Raw genomic sequence first — 27,189 nt, forward strand, 5'->3', positions numbered from 1 at the left:
CTAAATGAGGGATGAGAAGTGGATGAAAATATAGATAATGTAAGAATGGCAGAACATTATGTTCATAGCAGCTCTACTCACATCAGCCAAAAGATGGAAGCAACCCAAGGGTTCATCTGTGGAGGAGCGGATAAACAAAGTGTGGCATATACACACAAGGGAATATTATTCAGCCCTAAAAAGTAAGAGATCTGATACATGCTGTAACATAAAGGAATCTTGAAGACATTACGTGAAGTGAAATAAGCCAGTCGCAAATAGATCAACGCTGCATGGTTCCACTTGTATGAGGTACCTAGGGTAGTCAAACTCACAGAGACAGAAAGAATGGTGCTTGCCAGTAGCTGGGGCAGGGGGAAGGGTGAGTTTTTTAATGGGTACTGAGTTTCGGTTTCGCCAGACAAAAAAACTTCTGGAGATGGAACAATGTGAATATACTTAATGCCACTAAACTGTGCACTTAAAAATAGTTAAGATGGCAAATTTTATGTATATTTAAGGACAATCAAAATTTTTAATTAAAACTTTTTTTTTAACTTAAAAAATAGAATAATGGAATATTTATAGCAGTGGAAGCTGGGAGATGGGTTCACTGACTTTGTATAAGTTTGAAATTTTCCATAATAAAAAGTTAAAAAGGCCGGGCACAATGGCTCATGCCTGTAATCCCAGCACTGTGGGAGGCCGAGGCAGGCGAATTGTCTGAGGTCAGGAGTTTGAGACCAGCCTGGCCAACATGACAAAAACCCATTTCTACTAAAAATACAAAAAAAAAAAAAAAAAAAAAAAAATTAGCCAGGCGTGGTGGTGCAAACCTGTAGTCCCAGCTACTCAGCCAGCTACTCGAGAGGCTGAGGCAGGAGAATCGCTTGAACCCGGGAGGTGGAGGTTGCAGTGAGCCAACATTGTGGCACTGCACTCCAGCCTGGGCAACAGAGCAAGACTACGTCTCAAAAAAAAGAAAAAAAAAACATTAAAAAGAAAAGCTCCTGTATCAAAGAATCCTGTCTAGTTCAGGGAGCAAATAACAACAGTACAGTGTGACAGCTAGCACACCAGAGGGCTGGTTTTTGTCTTTGATTTTTTTTTTTTTTTTTTTTTTTGGTAGAGGCATCTGTATGGAAACTTAAAACTCTGTTTCTATTTGATCAATTTAGATGACACAACATGGTGGAGTGAGAATGTGGCTTGGGTGGAAAGACCTGCATTTGAACCTTGACCCTGACTGTACTAGCTATGTGCTCTTAGGTGACTAACTTGTCCCTCCTCGTCTGTGACAATTATACAATGCCAACCTACCTCACAGGGTTGCTTTGAAGAGTAAAACAGATGATAAACAAATAGATTCTTTCACAATAGACTTTCAACAAATAACTGTTTCCCCTGAGGGTGGAGATTGGGTCTTACCAGGGCTGGCAACATAATATGCAAGACCAAATATAAAATAAATATGCAGGAAAAAAGTGCTGTTAAAATATAGAAGTGCCGAACTAAAATATAAACCTTTTTTCTTTTATGGTGTCTTTTTAGACCTATCATGATGCTTTTAAATGTACTATTTAATGTCATTATAAGAAAAAATAAAAATGTAAATTATATTGGCATGAACTTTGTCATTTAGCTTGGCCTTGTGCAATGCCAGTTTTAAATGCTAACTCATATGTACAATTGTATTTTATAGCTTGTACATGCATTTATACATTTGTATTTTGTTCTCATCAGACAGTGGAAACACTGCACAAAACTAACGCCATTGTTTTTATTTCTTTTTTTCTTTTTTAATTTTTTTAGAGATGGAGTCTCGCTCTGTCACCCAGGCTGGAGTGCAGTGGCGCGATCTCGGCTCACTACAAGCTCCACCTCAGGTTCACACCATTCTCCTGCCTCAGCCTCCTGAGTAGCTGGGACTACAGGCGCCAGCCACCACACCCGGCTAATTTTTGTATTTTCAGTAGAGGTGAGGTTTCACCATGTTAGCCAGGATGGTCTCCATCTCCTAACCTCATGATCCTCTTGCCTCAGCCTCCCAAAATGCTGGGATTACAAGCATGAGCCACCGTGCCTGCCTTTTTATTTATTTATTTTTTTTGAGACAGAGTCTACCTCTTTCTCCCAGGCAAGAGAGCAGCGATGTGATCTCTGCTCACTGCAACCTCTGCCTCCTGGGTTCAAGTGATTATCCTGCCTCAGCCTCCTGAGTAGCTGGGATTACAGGCACCTGCCACCACACCCAGCTAATTTTTGCATTTTTCATAGAGATAGGTTTTCACCATGTTGGTCAGGCTGGTCTCAAACTGACCTCAAGTGATCCACCTGCCTCGGCCTCCCAAAGTGCTGGGATGACAGGCGTGAGCCACTGCACCTGGCCTATTTCACTTCTTGCTATCTGCACATTCTCTATCTATCTCCAGCTTACTGATGAGAAAGGTAAAGGAACCATGGTTGTTTTATCTTTGCCTTTCCTTCTATGTCATCATTTTCAGGATAAATGGTTGGCTAAGTACAAAGTAACATAAATAAGAAATATGATAGGTTTCCTTGGTCATTCATGTTTCTTAGAACATCACAGGCTGAGTGGGGAGGATCTCTTGAGCCCAGGAGTTTGAGACCAGCCTGGGCAACACAGAGAGACCCCGTCTAGACCCCATCTCTTAAAAAAAAAAAAAAAACTAGCCGGGCTTGGCTAGTGGCTCAAGTCTGTCATGCCAGCTACTCAGGACGCTGAGGCAGGAAGAAGTCTCGAGCCCAGGGCGTCAAGCCTGCAGTGAGCCGTGATCACACCACTGCACTTCAGCCTGGGTGACAGAGCAAGACGTCTCAGGAAAAAAACCCAAAAAAACAAAAACAAAACAAAACAAAACAAAACAAAAAAACATTATTGCCTTCTTTCTGTATTTGAAGCAAGTTCTGGTTCTAATGGAAAGTGTGGCCTCTTGGGGCTGTCAGACATGGACATGTTTACTTTGTGAGCACGTAGAGTCCTGCTGAATGTCCCCACATCCTGGGTCCACTGGAATTTGGTGCTGCAGGCACTAGAAAATTGTATGGGGTTGGGATGGCGAGGCCCCATGGAGACACATGTTCTGTGCGTGTCTCCTTTGCCAATGTCCTTACTCTACTGTCCCATTTATAAAACACCAGTTCAGGCCTGGTGTGGTGGCTCACGCCTGTAATCCCAGCACTTTGGGAGGCTGAGGTGGGTGGCTCACGAGGTCAAGAGATGGAGACCATCCTGGCCAACATGGTGAAGCCCCATCTCTACTAAAAATACAAAAAATTAGCCAGGCATATTGGCGGGCGCCTGTAATCCCAGCTACTCAGGAGGCTGAGGCAGGAGAATCGCTTGAAATCAGAAGGCAGAGGTTGCAGTGAGCCGAGATCGCGCCACTGCACTCCAGCGTGGGCAACAAGAGAGAAACTCCGTCTTGAAACAAAACAAACAAAACATCCCCACACCAGTTCAAAGGTAAAAATGTTAGGAATTTCAGGACGGTGACAGCAGAGCATTAAGCCAAGCCTGGGGCCCTGTGTGACTGCACAGGTCCATGCAGGTGGGGCCAGCCTGGTTCCTGAGCATGACACTCAAGGCTCTAAGTGACCTTCTCCAGCTGCCTTTCTTGCTTATGACACCCTGTCCACCTCACTCACACACACATCTCCTCCTGCAGAGGTTCTGGGCTGTCCACCACACCCTGAGCATTTTGTGCACTCTCACTCCTGGCTGCCTTCTTCATGGTACTTCCTTGGGGAAACCTTACTTGAATCATTCAGATGAAGAGGACCTCATTTCCCACTAAATGTCTCCACCAACCACCACCTGTACCCAGGTGGACTGTCCCCAGCACACTGCAAGTTCCTAGAAGGCAGGCTCTGATTCATGGTCACTCTGAGAAGTGGCAGATTGGGGGGTTCCACTCTCAGCTCTGCTCCTTGCTGCTCTTGGTGCCACCCTGGGGAAGTGACTACACCTCTTAGATCCTCATTCTTGTCACATGTAATGTGGGTAGAGCTACCTGCCTCCGGGGACTGCTGGGGGATTAAGCAGGGATGAATGAGATGGTGGAGGTTCACAGATCTCATCCTTGGCTATTCACCAGAATTACCTGGGTTATTTTAATCCCCAATGCCAGAGTCACAGATTTTGAAATTCCCCAACTGACTCCAGTGCAGCTAAGGCGGACAACCCCTGGTACAGGTGAAAGTGACCAGCACAGAGCCTGGACCCACTTGACAGTCCTTTTTAAAAACTTAAGAATAAAGCAAGCTGGGGAATTTGGCCCTATTTCTCACCAGCAGTCCCATCTCAGTTGCATTTTGTTTAAATGCCTCCAAATTCCCTGCTGGGGCCTCAGCATCCCTCCCAGAGCTGGGAGGAGAACGCTGTGCTGGTCTGACGGCTTCTTCTTACAGGGTCAGCTGTGGCAGCTGCCAAGGAGCCAGGGTGAGGTCCCGGCCAACATGGAAAAAGCTAGTGTGGTGTCTGGCCTAAAGAATGCCAAGACCTTGTTTACCAGAAAGCTGAGAGAGTGGGGACAGCAGGCTTAGATGACAATGACTTCAGGTTAGCCAGACACTGGCGTGAGTGTGAGGAGAAGGCAGCCAAGGTCTGCTGAGCTCCTGTTTGGGACCAGATGACCTGCATCCTTCACTCACCAAATCCTCGCCAGAAGGGAGATCTTCTGAAATGATTTCCACTTCATGGATAAGGAAGGGATGCCCATACAGGTGAAGCACATTGCCTAAGGTCCCAGGGCTCATGGTCTAATGACCCCTGAGCCCACACACACTCCTTCCCTGCCCTCAGAGGGCCTGGGTTACCAGGGATCCCAGGACCATCAGGTGGACTTGGGAAGGTGGGTCACTGCATGGCTATAGTCAGATGACTCTGGCTGGGCTGGGTGGGGACATGCCACATTTTGGGGTGACAGGACCAAGGCAGCTTTCTGAACCATTTGCACGGTGGCCGAGGCATGTCAGAAATAGACTCCCAGTCTGGGCCCCTGTCACTATAACAAGCCCTAAACAAAGAATCAATGTCTCATCGTGAAGCCAGCTCACTGTTCAGATGATTTAAGTTAGGGGAAATGTGGGTGTCAGCCCAGAGCTACTCTGATGATTTGCAGGGGCAGGCATGGCCGGGCTGCCAGTATTTGCCCATTCTGGCCGGCCGCTCTGGTATTGACAGAAGCCCCCACACGCGCTTGCTAGATTACAGTAAAGACATTCAAATCACAGGCGTGTCGGCCCACGCCTCGGCTCCTCTGTGCCAGCAGCCCCTTCCTTCTGCATTAACCGAGACAAACAGGGAGAAGTCAGGAAATTCTGATTAGTGCAGGAACGGCAGATGAGCTGGGAGGCCTGTGGAAGCTAAGGAGACACAATGAAGGTGGTATTCATGCATACTAGCGTAAGATTTTCTTCCCATAAGAAATGCAGATGGGAATCGGCTCTAAGAGGAAAGCAGGTGCAGTGATTAAAAACAGCTACCGCTTGCTGAGCCCTAAACCAGCACTGGGTGGTTTTACATGCATTAGCTCACTTACTCCTCACAGCATCGCGTGAGGTAGGTAGGATGATGATCTCCATTTTACAGATAAGGAAATCAAGGCTCTGAAAGGGGACGTCACTTGCCTGAGGGTGAAGAACTGGGCAATGACAGGGCCAGAGTTTGAAACGAAGTCTGTCTGGCCCTGGGGCTCATGCAGCACAATATTATTTATGTTTGATTAAGAGAGGTAATCACAAGATTGTATTTGACATATCAATGGCCACTCAGGGCTGCCCTAGTAGCAATTCAGACAGGGATTCTAAGGTGATGTTGAACAGAAAGGGCTTTGGAGAAATGAAGTGGGTTTTGGCTGCACTCTATGCCTGCTGTAGCCATCTCGGCTCTTGGAGCCTCTGTTTCTTACAGATACAATAGAGGTAATAGCTATGTCATGCTCTAGGCATTCAACCCCATTACATAGGGTGAGTCCACAGTGCAGCGGTGGCGCAAGGTGAGAGCTGACATGAGTGAGACGGTGACGACCCCTGTGCTGCCGCAGAGCTACAGCTCTCTCCCTAGCACAGAAACCAAATGGGGGCCCACTGAAATCTCAACCTCAAACACCTGCTGGCTCAACCACGTGGCCAGCGCCAGGGGTTGCCTCACTCTCACCAGGGGCCAGATTCCCGGTTTCAACACAATGACACTTGCATCCAAAGTCCCAAGAAAGGAAGCGCCAAGCTGATTAGAGATTTCTGTTTCCCTAGTGAGGAGAACACGGTTTGAGGAAGTGCACTGGAGAGAGGACACGTGTCAGGGACCTGATAGGCCCCTAGAGCAACAGAATCTATCTGAAACGCAATCAGCCGCAGAACCCATGTAGCTGCAGCAATGGGAATATGAGACTCATGGATCTCAAGGTAAAAAAGGACATGGTGATAAAACAGAAGAGGCACAAATTCGTCTCCACAAATGAAAAGCCCTAACCCCCTAACTGAGGAGACAGGCCCCCCTGAAGGTGTGCTGCCCACCCATCGCTTGGTGACACAGTCCTCTGGGGGGTGCTCTGTGGCACTGTCCACATGATTAATTGTCAGAATTATTTATTAGCCCCATGACTCCCTTATTTATTATCACTCCTCCTCCGAACGTCACTCATGCAGGGCTGAGTCTCTGGTGTTGAAACGGGCCTGGTACACAGGAGACTTCGGTAGGAAGTTTCTAGTCGTGAGCACGTGGCAGCATCAGGAACTGGAAAGAGCGCCAGGGGAGTCAAATGCCTGACTTGGTCTGGATTCCTTTTCCTTGCCTAGGCCTCGGTTTCTTCCTCCGTAAAATGGGAAGCTTGGAAAGTCTCCAAGGTGCTTTCTAATGTGAATGTGTTGTTTCTAGATATAGAAAAGGCTTTTCTTTACGAGGTCTGCCACAACCTCTCATAGAGAAATGTGTCACGATGCACAGTGCATGATGGGAGAGTCGGGAACAGTGAAAGACACTGCGTGGGAATGCAGGCTCTGCCACTTAACATGTCTGGAACGTGGGGCAAGTCCCTAACCCCTCAGAGACCACCTTCTCATCTGCCGAATGGGGGAGCTACTTCCTACTTCACAGGGCTGTGTGGGGATTGACAATCGAGGCATGGAAAGTGCCTAGTGGGGGGCTTGACTCTTAGCGGAGGGGCTAAGAAAGGATCTGTTTTCCACCCCAAATTAGGATGGTTTCCTGCCCAAAGCAGATGGCAAGTGATTGTACTCAAGCAGCCCCATTTCAGTGCATGTGACACGCGCTACCTGTGCAGGACATGTGACAGGGCAGTGGAGGCGAGACCGCAACGTACAGCAAGAAGAAAAGGAACCTCCACGAAGCTGCCTGCTAGGGCTGGGACGCCGCAGGACATGGCAACTCTCTGTGGCTGCACGTTGACTTCTCGTAAGAACCCTACAAAGACAGGCTCTTGAGCCTCATCTTAGAGAGGAAGGAGCTGTGACTTGACCAAGGCCACAGAGCTGAAGAACCATAGTCGCACTTGAAGTCAGTTCTCTGACCCCAAAGTCCAGGCTCCTCCCACGACACCCCCGAGCTCTGAGCACGCTCAGTTACCCAAACACAGTTTTCCCCTGGGCTTCTAGGAAATCCAAGATATGTCAGACGATTTTCTACACAAAAATGTCCTTTTCCATGTTCTGCAGCTGCAGTCCCAGACCGAGGAATCCAGAATCTCTGGATGGGGATTCTGTACCGCCCAGGGGCTCTGAAGAAATGGGGAAGCAAGTGAATTTCCCTGAGCTCAGTTGCCTCAGCTATAAATTGGGGAAACTACCTACTTCCTATTGTGAGGTTTAAGGTGATATGGTGTGTGTCAAGCTGCCCGTACTTTGGAGCACACAGCAGGTGCTCAGGGGAGATCAACGTCCTTTGTGGCTCTTTTGAGATGCCCTTTGTGAGCTGGGCATCATGTCTTGGATGGGGCCTTCTGTACCTGTCATTCCACAAATATGGGTGACTGAGGTGACTCTGTCCAGGTGGGGTGGGGTCCAAGAAAGGCCACTGGGGGAGGGGGAGGCATAAAAACCAAGGACCAGGAAGAAGCAAGTGCTCCCTAACTGGGAAGCAGGTGGAGGGCCTGGTGGGGCAGCCAGCCGGCGGTTCACAGCGAGGAGCTGTGTCACTGGGGCTGGCGGGCACGTCATGGACAGGGTGAGCAAGGGAGTTGCTGGTTCCCCTCTTCCTCATTTGGGGGCATCTTTCTTGAGAGCCAGAGATCTGAGATGTGGTGGGTGCCAGACCCTCAAAATACACACAAAAATATAGCTCCTCAGCATGTCCGGTACACCCCGCCCAGCCCTGAACAGTGCCTCGAGTGTCCAGGGCAGGACTGCATCGAGGGAAACATGCCCAGGAGGCTTCATTCACTCAGGGCCCCTTGTCCCCCTCAGGCAGCCACTGAGTTGCTCCCATTTCCTTGGCTTTCAGTGCCTGCAGAAGCAAGCAGAGTATGGAGTTGGGGAGAAGCCCCCCAAGGTGTGACCCTGCCCACCCCGCCCACCGCGGCTCCTCATTCCCCAAACTTCCTGCATTCCCATAACACGGGGCCAGCCACGGTTCTCCAGGTAGGTCTGTAAGTCTCCTGCCTTTGTGTGTGCTGGGCCCTCTGTGGGGAGGCCACTCAGGCTGGGGAGTCCCCCTTGCCCTTCACCCTTGGAGGATTAACCCAGGGCAAGCTGCCCTGGGATGCTTCCTCCTTGCCCGGGGCTGGGTCAGTGTCCCTCCTCTGGGCTCTGCAGCCCTACGCTCACCTCTGCTGTAGCATTTATTGCCATGCATTACATTGCCTGGCTGCCGGTCAGATCCTTACTAGATGGTGACCTCCTCAGGGGCAGGCCGTGTCTGACTCGCCTCTGCACCTCCAGCTTCTAGCCCCATGCCTGGGTCAGAGCAAGCGCTCTGATGCTTGTTGCATGAATTATTCTACTGCAAATCAGGCAACAGGAACATTTCTGAAGAAGAGGCACACAGGGTGGAGAGCCAGACAGGCTGACTGAGGATGTAAGGAGGAGGGGTGCAGGGAGGGATGGAAAAGAGAGAATGTATGTGTGTGCTGGGAGGGGCAGGGGAGGGCGGAGGGAGACAGGGAACACCGTTTAATTAGACCACATGTGCAGAGCAGCATCTGGCTCCAAGCGCAGCCGTTTACACCGCTCCTGGAGTTGTCGTGGAGACAACCACATGACCAGCCTGGAGCCGAGACTCAGGGGCAGCAATCCAGATGCACCCCTAACATATTCTGACAGAGAGCAGATGGGCAGCTATTTGCAGGGCCAAAAAATGCCAACTCCGCTCCTCTCCAGACCTGTGTGCCCTCACTGATCATTTTCATCTTGTAAAGTCATTCTTATCTGCCCTGGAACCACCCGTTCCTCTTGTGTAGGAAGCAGTATGAGGGCTGCTATTTTTGTAGTTCTCTGACCACCACAACTTTCGGCCTGTTCCTCTGGTGAGATGTCACCACCTATAATGAGGGGGTCCTCCAGGGCCAGGCTCCCCTGCTGGCTTCCCATCCCAGTCTCTTTCTCCACTAAAAGTCCCTAAATCTCCGTTTAGGCCCCATCTAAGAGATCCAGGCCTTGGAGCAACACTGCGCCCAGTATGGGGAGGACGCAGGCTTCGGTGGCTGAGCTTCTGCTCTGCTGGTATTGGCCATGGGTTTGCACTCAGCCTCTCCAAGCTCAGGGTTCCGCTCTGTAAAATGGGGTAACGTTTACTTTCTTTCTTTTTTTTTTTTTTTTTTTTTTTTTTGAGATGGAGTCTCGCTCTGTCTCCCAGGCTGGAGTGCAATGGTGTAATCTTGGCTGACCGCAACCTCTGCCTCCTGGGTTCAAGTAATTCTCCTGCCTCAGCCTCCTGAGTAGCTGGGATTACAGGCATGCACCACCATGCCGAGCTAATTTTTGTATTTTTAGTAGAGATGGGGTTTCACAATGTTAGTCAGGCTGGTCTCGAATTCCTGACATCAAGTGATCCACCCGCCTCGGCCTCCCAAAGTGTTGGGATTACAGGCGTGAGCCACCTTGCCCAGCCTGTAACATTTACTTTCACAGCATTATTTTAAGGATCAAATAATTACAGAAGAACCCTGACAATTATAAAACTCTCTATAAACATCAGCTGTTATTACCGTGGCAGTTTTTGACTGGGATAAAAATTTTTAAGCAAAAAGTTTAAAATTTTAAGCAAAAATTTTTAAGCAAAAAGCTCAAATATTTTAAGCAAAAAGCTCATGCAGCGCAGTAGGAAAATGAGAAAATCCTAGGGTCTATATAAAGTGATGCTTTGTTACCCACATGTATGGCAAATGTCTCTCATTAATGCCTTTGATAAGGTGGGAAACTGTCTGGTGTTGGAGGATCAGGCTGGTTTTGAATTCTGGCTGTTAAGCTTAATAGCAGTGTGATGGTGAGCAAGTGACTTCAAACTCTCTAGAGCCTTGGTTTCTTCCTCTGTAAAATGGGAATCATTGTTCTTAGCTCCCATGAGCTTATTCCAGTTGTGAGAAGTAACTGGGGCAATGTATGTAAACTGCCTAGCATATACCTTCACCCTGTTCCTTTAATGGAATAAAAAAAGGCTGAGGCTGAGGAAGAGGACAGTGAAAAGCATGGGTTCAGCCAGCCTAGGTTAGAATCTCACTTGCTCACTGCATGACCTTGGGGAGGCACTCATCTTTTCCGAGCCTCAGTTTCCTTTTCTGGGAAAGCAGGATAAAAATAGGACCTACTTTGTCACACCGCTGTGTGGGTTTTTTAATTAATTTATTTTTTTTTGAGACAGAGTCTTGCTCTGTTGCCCAGGTGGAGTGCAGTGGCCCGATCTCAGCTCACTGCAGCCTCTGCCTCCTGGGTTCAAGTGGTTCTCCTGCCTCAGTCTCCTGAGTAGCTGGAATTACAGGCGCCCGCCAACACGCCCGGCTAATTTTTGTATTTTTAGTAGAGACAGGGTTTTGTCATGTTGGCCAAGCTGGCCTCGAACTCCTGGCCTCAAGTGATCCGCCCACCTCGGCCTCCCAAAGTGCTGGGGTTACAGGCATGAACCACCGCATCTGGCCTGTTGCGTGGTTTAAAAGAAACAACGAACATAAATAAGTTATTAATAGCATCCGATAAACGGTTATTATGATCCCCCTCTCCCTTACTGAAGAAATCCTCAACCACTTCAGGAAAAATCATACCTTTTCGGCAGGTCTAGCCTGGGGTAGATGCCACACTGTGTCGAGGGACAGAGTTGCATTTTTAGTGTTTGGAAAGAAAAGCAAAGTGTGGACACCCACTGAAGCGCGGGCTGCTCTGAGTGCACATTGGGACCCCATCCGAGGCCCCCCTGGCCTGCTGCCTGAGTGGTCCAGGTGCAGGCAGAGGCTTATTTATAAAGCACTGTGGGGGTTCCCGCTGCTGCACACTCGCCTGCCATCGCAGGTGTGGGGAAGGCCTGGCTAAAAATATTGCTAACGTGGGCTTCGTGTCGCCCAACAGAGACTAATGATTGTTTTAAGTAAATATTAATTATAAGAGTTGCCCAGATAGAATGCCAGAGTGGCATGCATACTCCTCCATATACGTATGTAGGTGAGGTGATCATCTGGGGGGACAGCTTCTTATACGCCTCCTTCAGGGAGTTTAAATGTTTGGGTGGGCTGGGCATGGTGGCTCATGCCTGGAATCCCAGCACTTTGGGAGGCCAAGGCGGGCAGATCACTTGAGGTCAGGAGTTCAAGACCAGCCTGGCCAATATGGTGAAACCCTGTCCCCTACCAGAAGTACAAAAATTAGCTGGGCGTGGTGGTGTACTCCTGTAATCCCAGCTACTTTGGAGGCTGAGGCAGAAGAATGCTTGAACTTGGGAGGTGGAGGCTACAGTGAGCTGAGATCGCACGATTGCACTACAGCCTGGGTGACAGAGAGGGACCACATCTCAAAAAAAAAAAAAATGTTCGGGAGATTCCTGGTTACAATATTTGGTAAGTGTCTTAATATTGAGATACAGGGATTTCCGTATATGAGAGATGATCTCCTCCAGCTGATAAAGGGGTCACGATGGTGTGGAGAACCCAGATTTGGTTTAAGGCCCAGCAGGCTGGGCTGACTGATCTTGGGCAAGTGTCTACCCAAGAGCCTGGATGTGGGAGTCTCCAGCCTTCCATGGTGTTCTAGTTCTAGCACTTCCTAGCTGTGTCTTCCTGAGCATGCTCCTTCCCTGTGAGTTTCAGCTTCTGTACCTGTGTTTTGGAACCCAACATTTGTTGGTCACCTGATCAGTGGTTCCTACAGCCAGCAGCACATAGAGATTCCCCTAGGAGGTTCTTTTCAATGCCCGTTCCTGGGCCATGGGTTAGACCTTCACAAAGTTGCTCAGATGATTCTAACGCATTTGGGAACGAGGTGTGGGAGGCGGTAGTGGTGGTGGTCTAGTAGTACAAGGGTAACAGACACTTGTATGCTCTTACCATGTGCCAGGTACCCTTCTAGGTGTTTTACATGTATTCACTCATTTAATTCTCGTAACCACCCATGAGTTAGATATTGTTGCTGTGTCCACTTTACAATTGGGAAACTGAGCCACATAACTTCTCTAGATTCACATGGGCAGGATTTAAACCGAGGTGGTCATGCTTGGTTCCGTGCCTGACCCAGACGGTAGCATAAGAGGGCGGTGGCTCTACTTCTCTTCCTCATGGCTGCATCCCCAATGCCCCAGATAGAACCTTCCAGGGTAGGTGGTCAATATGTCAATGAAACCATTAGGCCCCTTGGCACAGGCTCTATCTTACTACATCCCAAGGAAGCTGGTCTCACTACTCTCCATTTTCAGATGAAGAAACTGAGGGCAGGGTATTCCATGAGCAGCTGAAGGTCATTTCAATAGTGAGTGAAGAGACTGGAATTTGAGGCCAAGCCTGGCTTGCTCCTTTATCTCCTGCTGCAACCTAATGGGACGTGAGAGCAAATTCCTGCTCCAGAAGATGGGTGTAGATTAAATATGCCAGGTACAGTGGCTCACGCCTGTGATCCCAGTGCGTTGGGAGGCCAAGGCAAGATTGCTTTGGGCCAAGGCGGGAGAATTGCTTTAAGCCAGGAGTTTGAGACCAACCTGGGCAACAGAGTGAGATCCCATCTCTATAAATTTTTTTTTTTTTTTTAATTAGCTGGGTGTGATAGCATGCCCCTGTAGTTCCAGCTACTTGGGAGGCTGAGGCAGGGTATCACTTGAGCCCGTGAGGTTAAGGCTGCAGTGAGCTGTGATCATGCCACTGCACTCCACCAGCCTGGGTGACGTAACATGGACACAGTGAGGGGAACAACACACTCTGGGGCCTGTCGGGGGAGGGTGGTGGCTGGGGGATAGCATTAGGGAAAAGAGCCAATGCATGCTGGGCTTAATACCTAGGTGATGTGTTGAAAGGTGCAGCAAACCACCATGGCACACGTTTACCTATGTAACAAACACATCCTGTACATGTACCGTGGAACTTAAAAAAAAATAATTAAAAAAAAAAAGATTAAATGAACACGAGTGCCTCCCCCCTCCCTCCAGCCCCTTTTAAATGAAATTGCTTTCCAAATCCTGCTCGGGGACTGCCTCAGTTTCTCCCAAGGTTGTTAACTTCAAAGGCAAGGGTGCTCAATGGTATTTGTTGATAGAACGTGAACACATGAATTGAGATGATGGCTCCACGTGGTTCTTGGAAAAGTGCAAGTTCTCAGAGGGGTCTGTTCATCCCTGGGCTCTTCACTGGGACATGTGGAAAATACCAGTCCTAGGCAAGGCCAAGGCATTTGCTGGTCAGGGTCCCAGATTCTGAGTTTCTAGAACCTGGATTTATGATCTCCTAATCCCCGTGTCCCTTCTGAGATAGGCAATGCCGAGAAAAGAGGGTTGGGACTGCATCTGGACAAGTAGGACCTGACACGGACTGAACCCAGATAACCAAACTCAACTGTGCTCTGCAGAAATCCACCATGAGAATCCCAACCTCCCTTGTTCCAGTCACATTATTAAGTCTTCAAAAGGCTTTTGGCGGTTGTTAGGGGAATAAGCGTCCAGGGCATAGGGCCGAAGTCTGTGCCTGGGGGCACCATGGTAGCTGTCACTCCCAGCCATTTCCCTGCCCGAGGCTAGCCTGTGAAATAACAGCAGTCTGGTTCCTGGGAAATGGTGGCCATTCCCAACACTGGCTAGCAGGTGTCTCATTTTGGGAAGACTGAATTGCCATGAGTTTCCCTCCCTCCTTTCCAATAACCAAAATAGCAGTGAACATTTACTGAGTGCCTGCTACTCACGTTCAAACAGTATTTACTCTAGTTACTGATAGACATGCTGAATGGTTTACGGTAAAGTGTACTGATGTCTGTGACTTACTCAGAAATGCAAGAAAAATGAGATGCATTGATAGATGCACAGATGGACAGATATGGGATAAAGGAAGTCTAGTAAAATGTTAATGGTACAACCTAGATGGTAGGTATGCAGGTATTCACCATAAAATTCTTTCCACTTTTCGGTATGTTTGTAAATTTTTATAATAAAATGTTGGGGAAGATCCACAAGGGGACATGAAGAGCCAGAACCTCAAGGGATGCGAGTGGTAGCTGACTGTGTTATTCCACAACTGACACCAAATGAGACTTCGTGTTAATCCAGTTTACTGCTGATGCAGTGACAGGGAGGTATTAAAAGTGAGTGATAAATGAAAACCAAACTATTTATTGTACACCTATTACAGGCTAGGCACTGCTTAAGCACCAGAATGGTAATGAATAAACCAGCCAAGGTCTCTCCTCTCAGAGAGGGTGGGGAGGTCACATAAACAAGGAAATAAATATGTGACAGGCATGGTAAGGCATCTACCATCTTTTCACAGATCTGGAAATAATGCTCTGAAAAGCCAGGCAACTTGCCCAAGTCCTCATGACAAGCAGTTGGGGCCAGGTTCACGTGAGACATGTCTGAGTCTAAAGTCTGGGTTCTTTCCTCTGTCACCTGCCACCTTTCAAAAGGTCACCAACATGATCGCCTCTCATTTGCTCTTGATGAGAGGAGCTACAAGGAAACTGACATCCCAGGATCACTCCTGAACTCCATTATAGCCATGCTTTTCAGCCCTGCTTCTCATCAGACTGTCTTAGAAAGCTGGGAAATGGATGGCTGCTGTTGAAATTCTTTTCATTTGGGAAACCTTTCGGCTTTTCAGGTGGCTTCCCAATCACTACCTCATTTAACCTGCACACAGCCCTGAAAGATAGCCTGGAATTCCTGTAGTTTTCAGCCCGTTTGACCTGTGAGGTCTGAAGTGACAGGTTGTTTGCCCAGCCCTCTGCTCCCCTCTGTCCCACGGCTACTGAAACACGTAGGGACTGGTTAGTTGGGCGGAAAGAGAAGTGGCCCCAAGAGAGCATCTGGATGCCAGAGTTTTGACTAGATAGTGCCATGCCTTTCCCTGTCTGCCCACTTGGCCTGTCTGCCCCTGCAGGACCCCAAACGCCTTTTGGCAAAAACCCCCTACAAGGATCAAACGAATCTTCCACTTGCTTTGGTGGTATTACACATTGGGAGCCTCTTGCTTCTTGCTTCCTTTAGACGCTAACTGCAGGGTGATTTGTGGTTCTGGCCAGGGGACTGTCAAAAGACCATTCCAAGAAACTCAGAAAAGAGCTTTCATTTAGTCATGATGAATGGGGAAGGCAAATGTCAGCTGAATTCATTTAACTAGCAACATATTCCCTAGTGTCAGGGCAGACTCCCCTACCGAAGTAGGAGCTGATAATCTGAGGTACTCATGAACAAGGTTGTTTTGGGAGAAATACAAAATAACAGACCTTCTGCCAATGGGCTATTTTACTTTCTAAATGTTCTTATCCCCTGAGCCCTCCATCTGACTCTGTGAGGGTTCCCAGGCCTCCCCATCTTCTGCCTGGACAGCGGCAATTGCCTCCTCCCAGGGCCCCTGCTTCCAGACTCTCTCCACCCAACCCTGTGTCTCGACACTCCCGAGAGACCTCCTCAAGGCACCACTCTGGACATGTGCTCACGCCACACCTGCGGAAGCCCGGCACTGCCCTTGTGAGAGGCTTCAAGGCTCTTCTTAGCTTAGCGTGCCAGCCCCCCAAGGCCCCTCCAGCCACACCTCTTGACATTAGCCCTGCAAACCAGAAGTCTCAATCATTGCTACAGGCCTGGAGCTTCCCATACGCTGTGCTTTCAAACCTCTTTGCTTTTGCTCACGGTATTCCCTCTGCTTAGAATAGAATGCCTCTTCCTCCATTCTTTGTTAGGCTAACATCTCATCTTACAAGCCATGCTCAGGTGCCATAGTTCCAGGAAGCTGTCCCTGCCCCCATAGCCATCCCTCTTGGGGTCTTCCTCTGGGGTCCCATAGCACTCTAAGCTTACCTCTATCCTATTAAATAAAAGTCACCTGCTTATCCGCCAGCCTCCCCCTTGAGGATGTGAACTCTCTACAGATAGGGAGGGAACTGTCTTCATGACCTTACCAAGCATACAGCCTGGCACACAATGGCACACTGAACACACGTGTGTCGAATGAATGAATACGCTACACTCTTGTATGGGAGTGAGTCCCATGAAATGAAGCTGCTTTCCGAAAAGTAAAAGGATACCAAGATAGTTTCAAACAGACATACACTGTCCCAGAATTCTTCCTGAAGCAGACGGCGTCACAGCAAGGCTGCAATTATAGACATGCGCACACATTGTTTAAAAAAATTCATAGAATGCACTTCACACTGACTTTTTTTTTCTTATTGGAAACCTGTTTACAATCTTGTCCACTGTCAGTCTTAAATGTCACTTTTCAGAAAGCTGGCTGCTGCCAGCAGAAATTTATTTTCAACTTGAATCACAGCATGTTCATGCAGAGAAGCGCCTCTTTTGAATCTCCAAATTGGAGGGAATTCAGGGAAGAGAAAGTGAGGTGATTAGAATCTGCAGAGGCCGACTCAGGAAGAAAAATTATGAGGCTAAAATATGCATGTGTGAGCTAAACAGCAGCTATTAGTTGGTGGAGGTGGCAATGGTGGGGATGGCAACTACCTAGAAACCTACCAGGACAGTGAGGCTGCATAGCAACACGTGGAAACAAGGAAGCGGGAGCGGGAGGAAGAAACAGTGAGGGAAGCCCAGGCACCAGGAAGGACGCGTGCATTTACAGACGGCCCTCCTGTGCCAGGTGCTGCCGAAGAGGCCGTCCTTCACTCAGCCTTTGCCCAGCAGCTATCATTATTCCTATTTTAAAGGTGAGGAAACTGAGGTTCTGAGAGATTAAGAAACCCAAATAAGGAGTGGTGGGGTCAGGTCCTACCAGCCACCTGCCATCAGCTAGTCACTAAGTAGAGGTCTGCAGTAGGCATCATTGCCCCTGCTATTTACAGGTGGGGTGATCAGGGAAGACTTCCTGGAGGGGGAACACTTGAGCTGAATTTGATTATGCTTCTTTATGCCTATTCAGAAAAGGGGTGTCAGCTTTTAGGAAAGCTGTAATTCAATATGCATATTGTCTTTTTTCTTTCTTTCTTTTTTTTTTTTTTTTGAGACAGAGACTTGCTCTGTTGCCCAGGCTGGAGTGCAGTGGCGTGATCTCTGCTCACTGCAACCTCTGCCTTCCAGGTTCAGGCAATTCTCATGCCTCAGCTACCTGAGTAGCTGGGATTACAGATGTGTGCCACCATGTCTGGCTATTTTTTTTTCTTTTGTATTTTTAGTAGAGATGGGATTTGGCCATGTTGGTCAGGCTGGTCTCGAACTCCTGGCACCAAGTGATCCACCTGCCTCGGCCTCTCAAAGAGCTGGGATTACAGGCATGAGTGGCAGTGCTCGGCCTTTATTCTTTTTCAGACAGAGTCTCGCTCTGTTGCCCAGGCTGGAGCGCAGTGGCGCGATCTTGGTTCACTGCAACCTCTGCCTCCCAGGTTCAAGTGATTCTTGTGCCTCAGCCTCCCAAGTAGCTAGGATTACAGGTGTGCACCACCATGAATGGCTAACTTTTGTATTTTTAGTAGAGTCAGGGTTTTGTGATGTTGGCCAGGCTGGTCTTGAACTCCTAGTCTCAAGTGATCTGCCTACCTCAGCCTCCCAAAGTGTTGGGATTACAGGCGTGAACCACCGCACCCGGCCCATTATCTTTATTTTTTAACACAAACACACACATGGTCAAATCAAATACCTCTTGCCTATCATTCCCTTGGCCTGGCAAACATGGACTCAGGACCCAACTCAAAGGTCTCTGCCTATGGGAAGCCTTTCCCAAATTTGTGAGGAAGGGTGGCTGTTTTTGCCTTTCATTCACTGATTCAGTGAGTAGTTGTTGAGAGCCTACTGGGTATCAGCCCCTGGAGCTATCACAGTCAGCTACCTGAGGATAGTCAAGCAGCCCCATAAAGGAACAATTACCCCCTGGGACAATGGCCTTGAAGCAGAGGTTCCTGCTGTGCAGAGAACAAAGAACAAGGTCCCAAGAAGACACCTGGAGGCTGCAGAAAGCATTCCTGGGAAAGTAACCTGTGTGCTCAGAGGGGAAGGTGGGCAGAAGCCCCAGGCCTCTGTGGGATGGAGGAGTGCCAGGGGAAATGAGAGAGGCTGGAACAGGACAGCAGAGGGGGAGGGGCTCCAACCAAGCCTGGGCATGGATCATGCAGGTCTTTTTAGGTCATGTTGTCCTAAAGCAACAGGGAACCCTAAAATTTGGGTGGCTGGGGGAAGGGAGTGTAGATATTTGCACTTCAAGAGGATCATTCTGATCTCAGTGAGGCCAGTGATCTGCCAAGGAAGCACTGTGTCCACTGAGGCAGCTGCCAGGCAGGAATGGAAAGGGAGGAATTCAAGAGAGGCTTTAGGAGACAAGAGTTGACTTGGATGCAAGAGTTGATGGATCTAGCCGACTGACCACCTCCCCCTACTACACTGAGTGCTTTGGAGAGGCAAGTAGGACCAGGTAGTACTCGCCAGGGTCTCCTCCTTCCTAAGAGTCCAGCAGAGGCCCCATGCAGGGACTATGTTTTCAGTACCTTGGAATCCCTACCCCAAGAGCAGGGGCTGGCATGCCGATGGTGGTCCAGAGATGCTGGGGGGCCATGCCGCCGCTGCTGCTCCAGTCCTCCCTTGGCTGCCAGATGACCCCCACCATGGCAGCCTCCAGGAACTCAGGAGACAAATCCCAAGCAGAGCAAAGCCTGGGTCTTGCAGGCCAGCCTCTGTGTGCAGACAGTCTCTATCCAGAACACACAGGCTTCCCAGGCCTAGCACTTGCTGGGTTCCCCAGCTCTGGGCTGACCAGACGCATGCACACACCAAGTCTGCCAGGGTCTGTTCCGGGTTCCATGTGTGGTGACTGATGTCTTGTGATGGATAGCTTCTGAGGGACAGTGTGTCCTGGGGTGGCTCCGGCTCTGCAGTGGGACAGGCTGGGCTGAGACTCCTGGCTCTGTCGCTCATTATCCATGTGACTGTGGGGAAGTCTTTAGCTCCCCAAGTCACAGGTCAGTTCGTTTGTAAGATGGGGATAATTCCATCTACCTCCCAGAGTTGCTGCGAGGCACAGACAGATTTCACATAAAGTACCTGCCCCAAGGCCAGATGTGTAAGAGAGACTCAGTTGTGGGTTGTTGTTCTTTGTTTGAGACACAGCTTAGTTTTTTTTGTGTTTTTTTAAAAATGATTTTTAGTCTCCTAGGACTTGTAGCAAACGGGTTAGTGTCTCCTGGTCATCGGAGCCATGCCATACATGCTATTAAATATTACATCAATTCATCTAACAATCTGTCTAAATCTGGTCAGAGGGACTTGGTTATGTCTGAGCAGCTCTGGTGTTTTAGAAACCTGTGCTCCTATCCTGAAAGTTTCTCATTCAGAATCCTAGCAGCCATGGTGGGAAACTCTTGTCTTTCTGTTCTAAGCCATTTAGTATATTATCTTCTATCTAGCAGGACACAAGGTGAAGGAGACAGAGCTGGGTTTTTGCAGACACAAAGATCTGGGTTTAATCGCACCTCTAACACTGAGCAACTAGACAGCCTAGCGCAGACCTCTCGATTGGGGCAAAGGGCTGTGGTGAGGACTTTGCCCTTGAATCTCAGTGTTCAGAGAGTAAGCCGCCCAGAGATTCTTCCAGACAGCCCTCTGGTACTGTCCCTCCCCTGCTTAAATCCTTCAATGGTTATCATGCCTTTAGCATGGCTGTCCCTCCATTCATCAACATGTACTGACCTGCTATGTACTGGGTGCTTTGTGAGGTACTGGGGAGGGTGCAGCGGATAGGAAGTCCAGGGTCTTTCCCCTGCATTTAGGACCCTGCCCCGGCCCCTGCCTGTCCTTCCTGCCTTGTTGCCCCTTGCTCCGCACCCCATAGTGCACCTTCTAGCCACACTGAGTGCTTGCAGGTCTACGAATGCACAAGGCATTCAGTTCTCCCCTGAGCCTCTGCTCCTGTTCCTTCTGTTGTTACTCACATAGTCCTGTTTCCTCCTAACCTCACCGTGTCCTGCAGTGACTTCACTGTGGCCCTCAGTACAGTCTGGCATGCAAGGGAGCTTCTGGGCAACAGTGGGGTGCACACTGGCCATGGAGCCCAGCAGACCTGATCCCACTCTCCTCACACCCTCCCTAGCTGTGGCACCTGGGGCAAGTGACATCCTCCCTCTGCGCCCCCTCCCCTCTTCTGTAACATGGAGGTAGTAACATCTGCCTCAAAGTTTTATTTCGAGGGCTACAGGCGACCTGATGTAGGGAAGTGGTGAGTGGTAGCCACTATAATTGTCTGTGTAGTTTCTAGCCTGTCACTCTTCCTAGACTGTGCACTCCCTCAGGGCAGGAGCTGCACTTCTGCTGCCTCAGGATCCCCAGTGTTGGGGGAGCAGAGCCTGGCGTGCATGCATGAAATGAGCATGTGTGAGGTCTTGGGGAAACATGTCTCTTGAAATCAGAAGGCTTTTTGGCTTTGAAAGAGTTAAAATCTGCTCGTGATTATAAACAAGCTCCATTTCAGCTCCGCACTATCACTAGGTGTGAGTCACAAGGCTTAGCAGGTGTGGGCAATAATTAAAGGCTTCAGCAATCTACCTGGGCAAGGTATTTTTGCCTCTTATTCCAAAGAGGAAACTCTCTCTATGGAGAGCAGAGGAGCTCATTAATGAGAGTAATTAGGTGTAAAGGGGGTAGGGGCTGGCATCAGCTGCAGCTTGGAGGAGCTAATCATTAAGCTCTGTAATCTCCTCCGCTGAACACCAGCAGATCAGGTTCGGGGCTGCGAGCAGGGCTCCCCCACCTGAGTACCTGACCATGGGCTTTGGAGAGGCTGAAAGACCTTACCTCTCCCCCTGCCAGGTTCCACCAGGGGACACCGTGTGTGTGTGTGCGCGTACACACACGCGCGCGCGCGCACACACACACACACACACACACACACACACACACGCAGTGTGGGGTCAGCTGCCGGGGAAAGAAGCCTGAGCATCCAAGAAGACGCTTTGCTCTCAGTTTGCACTCACCTTTGAGGAGCATGTGCTGGTTTTACAAAGTTTCCTGGATATAAGGAATGGATCAAAGACTCTGTTTTTGGCCTCCACATGCGGAGGCTAAACTCTCATGCCTAGGCTTCTGGATTTTCTAGCCATTGCTAACATTTAGCTAGCACTGCAGCAGATTTCATTTTCTGAATCCATCTCCCTGGCCCATGGGCTCTGTGACTTGGGAACAAGGGGTTGATTCCCCTGGATCTTCAGTGGCTGGCATACCCCGGGTGCCATAGATCACTGGCTGCATGGTGGGGTGCATGGGAGCAGGTGGGAAGAGAAGAGATCGATGGATTTTGGCATTGTCACTTTTCTCAGTTCTGTGGCTTTGGCCAAGTCACAACCTCTCTGAGCCCTAATTTCCTCCTCTGTAAAAGAAGCTCAATCATAAATACGTTTAAAATTTCAGTAAAAATGGGGAGAGGCTGAATGTCAGGCAAGTGGGCAGGTAAATCCAATGAAGGCCCCACCCTGAACTTGAGCTAGTCAGAGGGCAACGTGTCCCAGGTCAAGGCTACAGGAACAGAGACTCGCCCCCGGAACACTGTGCTCTTAGATGCCAGCGCTGTGGGGCATCTCTGCACTGTTCACAGACAGCGTCACCTTGGCTCTGGGCTCTGCCGCCAGCCCCAGAGCTGCTAGCCCAGCCCTGGAATCTTTCTGCCTCAGCTTGATACACACCGAGACTTCTGGGAGGCCAGGAAGGAAGCAGCTGGCTCCTGCATCCCCCATGAGTCCCACTCCCTAAAGCACCCCTTTGATCTTCTAACCTGTAGCCATGGCCAACAGGAGCCTCTTGGAAAGTTGGCACCAACTAAATGGCATGTGTCCAGCCAGCAAGCCTTGAGCATGAGTGTGCTGGCATCATCTTCCTTGTCCTTAGAGCCCAGTGCTGGTGCAAGCACCTTGGTGAAACCATCCCTGATATCCAACTCCTCACCCCCACCTCATATGTTAGTTCCCATACCTTCCATGGTCCCCCAACCTTCTGGGCACCCTCCACCCTCCTATTGACCACACATTTGCCTCTTACACTCCTCTGGGAATAGGTAATAAAACTCTCTTTTCCCATTGGGACTGATCCTGCCAACCCCCTGCCCAGCCACAGGGGTGGGCATGCGACCCTGGGAGCCGACTGGAGGACTCCATCCTCTGGTCACACCAATGAGTTTAGGGTAGCCCAGAAGTGATCGACACTAACTTGAGCAGTCTCCACTGAGAGTTGCTGCACAGACACTGGAGTTGAGAGGGACTCACTTCAAGCTAGAAGGACCATAGAGGCCCCCATATTTCTATAGCAAAGCAAGAGAATGTTTGAAAATAAAACAGATAATGAAAAGCAAAGCCAAACAGAGGTCACTGAGAGTCTAGACATCATTTGAGCTCCTGGATCCAGCCATGCTGGTAGCAAGACAAGTCCGGGATGTCTCAGTTATATAAGCCAAGAAATTCTCCCTCCTATCCTCTTTGCTCAAGTTCGTTTAAGTTGGGCTTCTACCATCTACAATCAAGGGAAGGCAAGCCAGGGTTTAACCAAGTCTAGGGCCCAAGTCAGCTGGCAGGTTTGTTTACCTGCCCCCTCCACACCAATATTATTGCTGGTAACTAGAGCAGGGTCTTCAGAATGTTTTCTCTCTTGTGTCTTTTAGTTACGAGCCAAGGTCACAGTTCTTGGTTTTCTCCCTGAACCATGAGCAAAGATACGGCAGAACCTGAGGCTACTCTCAGACCAATGCGCATGGCCCCCAAATGGCTTTCCTGGATGCGATTGTCCTGTGGACACTTTCTTGTCCCACATGCTCCTTATAAAGACCCCTGTTTCTCAAAGGTCTTTCCTGAGATCCCTTTGAATCTTTTCTACCATTTTCCCAGTCTGGACAACAGAGACCACAGAAATATAAACATACACAATGTCCTGCAGAATCAACAGCTTTAAAAGAATTGAAAAAAAGAGGGGGGCTGGGGGAACAAAAGACTTGTTCCCATTAAATGTAAGTACCAAGCATGCTGAAAGGGGACTGCTGATATTTCTGGAGCCCTTATGTTTGATGTACTATCCCTATTTTACAGGTGAAGAACAGATGAAGAAACTGAGGCTCAGAGGTTAATTTGCTTTCCAACACAGAGCTGGGCAAATGCCTCCTCCTCTTCCTTCAAGGCCCAGCCAGTGTTGCCTCCCATGTGACCTGAAGCCTCCTTCCCGGAACCAGCGGCAGAGCACCCACAGACATCCAGCCAGCAGCTCCCACAGGGTGTCCTCCTGCTGGGTACGGGGCAGCCTCTGCCACTAGATGGGATCTCAAGGCAGACACCATTACTCATTCACCTCTAGATCCTATCCGCCAGCACAAGGCTTAGCCTGGACAGGGCTGCAATGAATGCTTGCTGGAGTAAACACATGGACAATGGAGTCATGATGTGAACCCTGCTTGTTCAATTGTGAGACAGTGCTTCCCCCTCCCCCAGCTGCCTCCGAGCCTCCCTCTTGTTCTCCCTGGAGGGAGTCAGGCTGGGTAGCAGAAGTGGTTACAAGACCAGAGGGAGCATGGACAATGGTAATAAATATGTAAAATCCAGAATTCATTACATCCAGCTAATTCCAAATGCAAAAGACACCACAGCCTCTGAGACAGATCCCAATGAGGGAGTCTGATTTGTAACTGACAATTTGAAAAGTGGACCAGAATTGTTTGGTCTAAATCATGAAATCATTCTCTTCTTGATGGGCAAGATTAGTAAATACACAACCTCTACTAATTTGGGGCTCAAGGGCTTATCCCCCAGCCTGCCTCAGTTTTAGTTCTGTAAGAGACCCTCTGTGAGGTCCTTAGGGGGCCTCCCCACTCCACGTCCCTGGACTAGAGACCCTCTGGACATGAACCTCAAATCTCCAAAGCAGAGGATGTAGTTCTCTTAAGGAGACAGCATTAAAGCGAGACGTTAACATTACATAAAGTAAACTCTGTCCTCTGGGGGAGAGATGCTCCACAAACCGAGATAAAGTGAGTATCCCTCATGCGGTGCGCTTGAAAACAGGCACCTTTGCGTGGTGCCTGCCTTCATCTATCATCCCCAAAGAAAGGGAGAGAGGGCCTGCCGAGCCACCCGGGAAAGACAGCTAATGCTTACAATTCGGCCAGGCAGGAGGTCTGCAAATGCTCCCCTCTGGCCTCCCACACTCAAAACATTTCCTATAGCGAAGGCTTCAAAGGTAGAGAAGCGAATAAAGATTTCCCCTCTGCCCTATGCCAGCTGAGAGAATATCTTCCTCTTCCCTCTGTTACACACACACACACACACACATCCACACACCTCAGACACGCACACATACAGCTGCAGGCGAGAACCAAAACCACAGACCTAGCTCGAATGGAGGGGACTATGTTTGAGACCACAGATAAAGGTCATGCCAAAAGCAAGTGATCTGAAGTTAGAAGTTCTAGTCCTATTCCCAAAACTTACTATGATGAAAGGAGAGTAAGGGAGAGAGAGTTTAGGTGGAGGCACTCCGTGTGAGCCGCTAGCACAGCAGTGGCACACACAGGAAATGCTTCCATCCATGAATCCTGGCACTGAGTAGATGATCCTGACCAGGTCTCCACCACTAGCTGCAGGAAGCCTCATCCTTCGGCAAGAGCAATGAGAAATGGCCTGAAGGGCACTGAACTTTTTCCTCGCCTAAGTCCCCCAACTTTTTCTCTATTAACTCTGCCTCAGTGGCATAAGCTCCAAATAAATTTCTTCCTCTGCCTGTGGTACCGAAGGCCCCAGTTACAGCTTGTTGTTGTTTCACATAAAAGTCAAGTTTGGCTCTTATCAGTCACTAACACTAGTGAAAATTAGTTCATCCATTTGGTGTCTAAAAGCAGTGAAGGGCAAGTTTCTTTTATTAATAGGTGGTCAGGTGGCTTGGGAGTGGGGCTTGGGTTCAGTGGGACGAGGCTACTTTAGACACAGCACAAGCTGGTGTCAGTGAGATAACTGGAGAAACTCAGTCTCCTTATGGGCAAAATGGAAAAACACGGGCTGAACAGCCACAGCTAGACAGTGGGTTAGTAGCTGTTGTCAACACTGCTGGTGAAGGTGCTTTGTACGCTCCCTGCATGTTCTGATCCCAACCGACATCATCAGTAGTCACCTAGGTTAAAACACAGAAAACGCTGATAAAATCTGTAAAGAAGCTGGTGACAAAAAGGACCAGAAAAATTCTCAGGAGACTGGAACAATAGGCTGAAACTAACAAGTTGAGGTGTATTTGGGACAATTGTGAATTCCTACACTTTGGTTAAAAAAAATCACCTTTAGAAGTACTAGTTAAGGCCGGCCTGTTTTGAAAACAATTTCCATGGTAGGTGTACAAGGTGCAAAGTTTTATGTTTAATACATGGTTCAGCAATGGCCAGTGTAGGATATAGTTCAAACAAAAGAATAATGCGACCCACTACATTCACAGAAGTAGAAAATCCTGAGCTGTACTCAAGTGTGGTGGAGTCCATTAGAAACAGGAATATATCAGCCAGGCAAGGTGGCTCACGCCTGTAATCCCAGCACAGTCGGAGGCGGAGGTGGGCAAATCACCTGAGGTCAGGAGTTAGAGACCAGCCTGGCCAACATGGTAAAACCCCATCTCTACTAAAAATACCAAAAAAATTAGCCAGGCGTGGTGGGGGGCACCTGTAATCCCAGCTACTGGGGAGGGTGAGGCAGGAGAATCGCTTGAACCCAGGGGACAGAGGTTATAGTGAGCCAAGATCATGCCACTGCACTCCAGCCTGGGTGACATAGCAAGACTCCATCTAAAAATAAAACAAAAAAACAAAAACAAAAACAAACCAGGAATATAATGTGAGTCACATACATAATTTTCAATTGTCTAGTAGCACATTAAAAAAAAAACAAGGTAAATTAATCTTCATAATGTATTTTATTTTATACAATATATGCTATAATTTCAATACTTAATCAATATAGAAAATTATTAATGAGAGTTACGTTGTTTTTTTCATCCTAGGCCACAGGAAACTGCTGTGTATTCCGCCTTTGCGGCACATCTCCCTTTGGGCGAGGCACATTGCAAGTGCTCTGCAGCCACATGTAGCCAGAGGCCACTGTACTGAATGCGACAAGGCTGGAGTAGGGGTGGAGATAAGTCCACTGCACTGTGTTCTCAACAGAACCACATCCAGAATATCTGGTATTTCAGGCCTTTTAGGAGGGACAATGATAAACCAGAGCCTGGCTAAGACTATCTGAAGGACTGGGAGTGAGAACGGTTAGTGGAAAAGAACTGGATCCTTCTAGCACTAGTGGGGAAATCACCAGCAATGATCCGGTGTTATGTGGCTGCAGAGTGCAGAACTAGGACTAGGGCATGAAAACTGTGATGATGGCATTTGGGCCCTTTTTAGAATGAGGTTCCCTGACACCAGAAGGAACGGTGTAGGCCAAGGCCAGACAGCCTGCAAAAGAGGCTATCTGTGTGGATAGAAAGCTGATGTCCTCTCTGATCTGAGGCTCTGAGATGCTAAGTAACAACATGAAGGAAAATGACTGGCTGCCTAGCCAACAAACCAGAATGTACACACCCAGAGACATTTCCTCCTTCAGGTAGTCTTCTGGGAGGTCAAG

The 27,189-nt window shown here is 48.9% G+C and overlaps 1 protein-coding gene and 1 non-coding gene across 43 annotated transcripts in view, besides 2 other annotated features; both read right to left on the reverse strand.

Moving 5' to 3' along the window:
• The window catches only part of DENND1A (DENN domain containing 1A), a 550,469-nt gene that overhangs the window by 84,571 nt on the left and 438,709 nt on the right, over positions 1-27,189 (reverse strand). The gene's annotated exons all lie outside the window — the stretch shown is intronic.
• Positions 6,042-6,336: an enhancer, noted in NCBI's record as "tiled region #10302; K562 Activating non-DNase unmatched - State 8:EnhW". NCBI's record gives its function as "activates a minimal TATA promoter and a strong SV40 promoter by Sharpr-MPRA in K562 cells {active_cell/tissue: K562}" and the evidence as "EXISTENCE:reporter gene assay evidence [ECO:0000049][PMID:27701403]".
• Positions 18,090-18,955: an enhancer, noted in NCBI's record as "OCT4-NANOG-H3K27ac-H3K4me1 hESC enhancer chr9:126244597-126245462 (GRCh37/hg19 assembly coordinates)". NCBI's record gives its function as "activates a minimal SCP1, AML or CMV promoter by ChIP-STARR-seq in naive H9 embryonic stem cells {active_cell/tissue: H9 hESC(naive)}" and the evidence as "EXISTENCE:reporter gene assay evidence [ECO:0000049][PMID:30033119]".
• On the reverse strand, positions 21,301-21,394 carry MIR7150 (microRNA 7150). The gene has a single exon (NR_106972.1). It is a non-coding gene; the product is annotated as a microRNA 7150 (primary transcript).

This window comes from Homo sapiens, chromosome 9 (genome assembly GCF_000001405.40).
Source record: "Homo sapiens chromosome 9, GRCh38.p14 Primary Assembly".
Classification (NCBI taxonomy): Eukaryota; Metazoa; Chordata; class Mammalia; order Primates; family Hominidae; genus Homo; species Homo sapiens.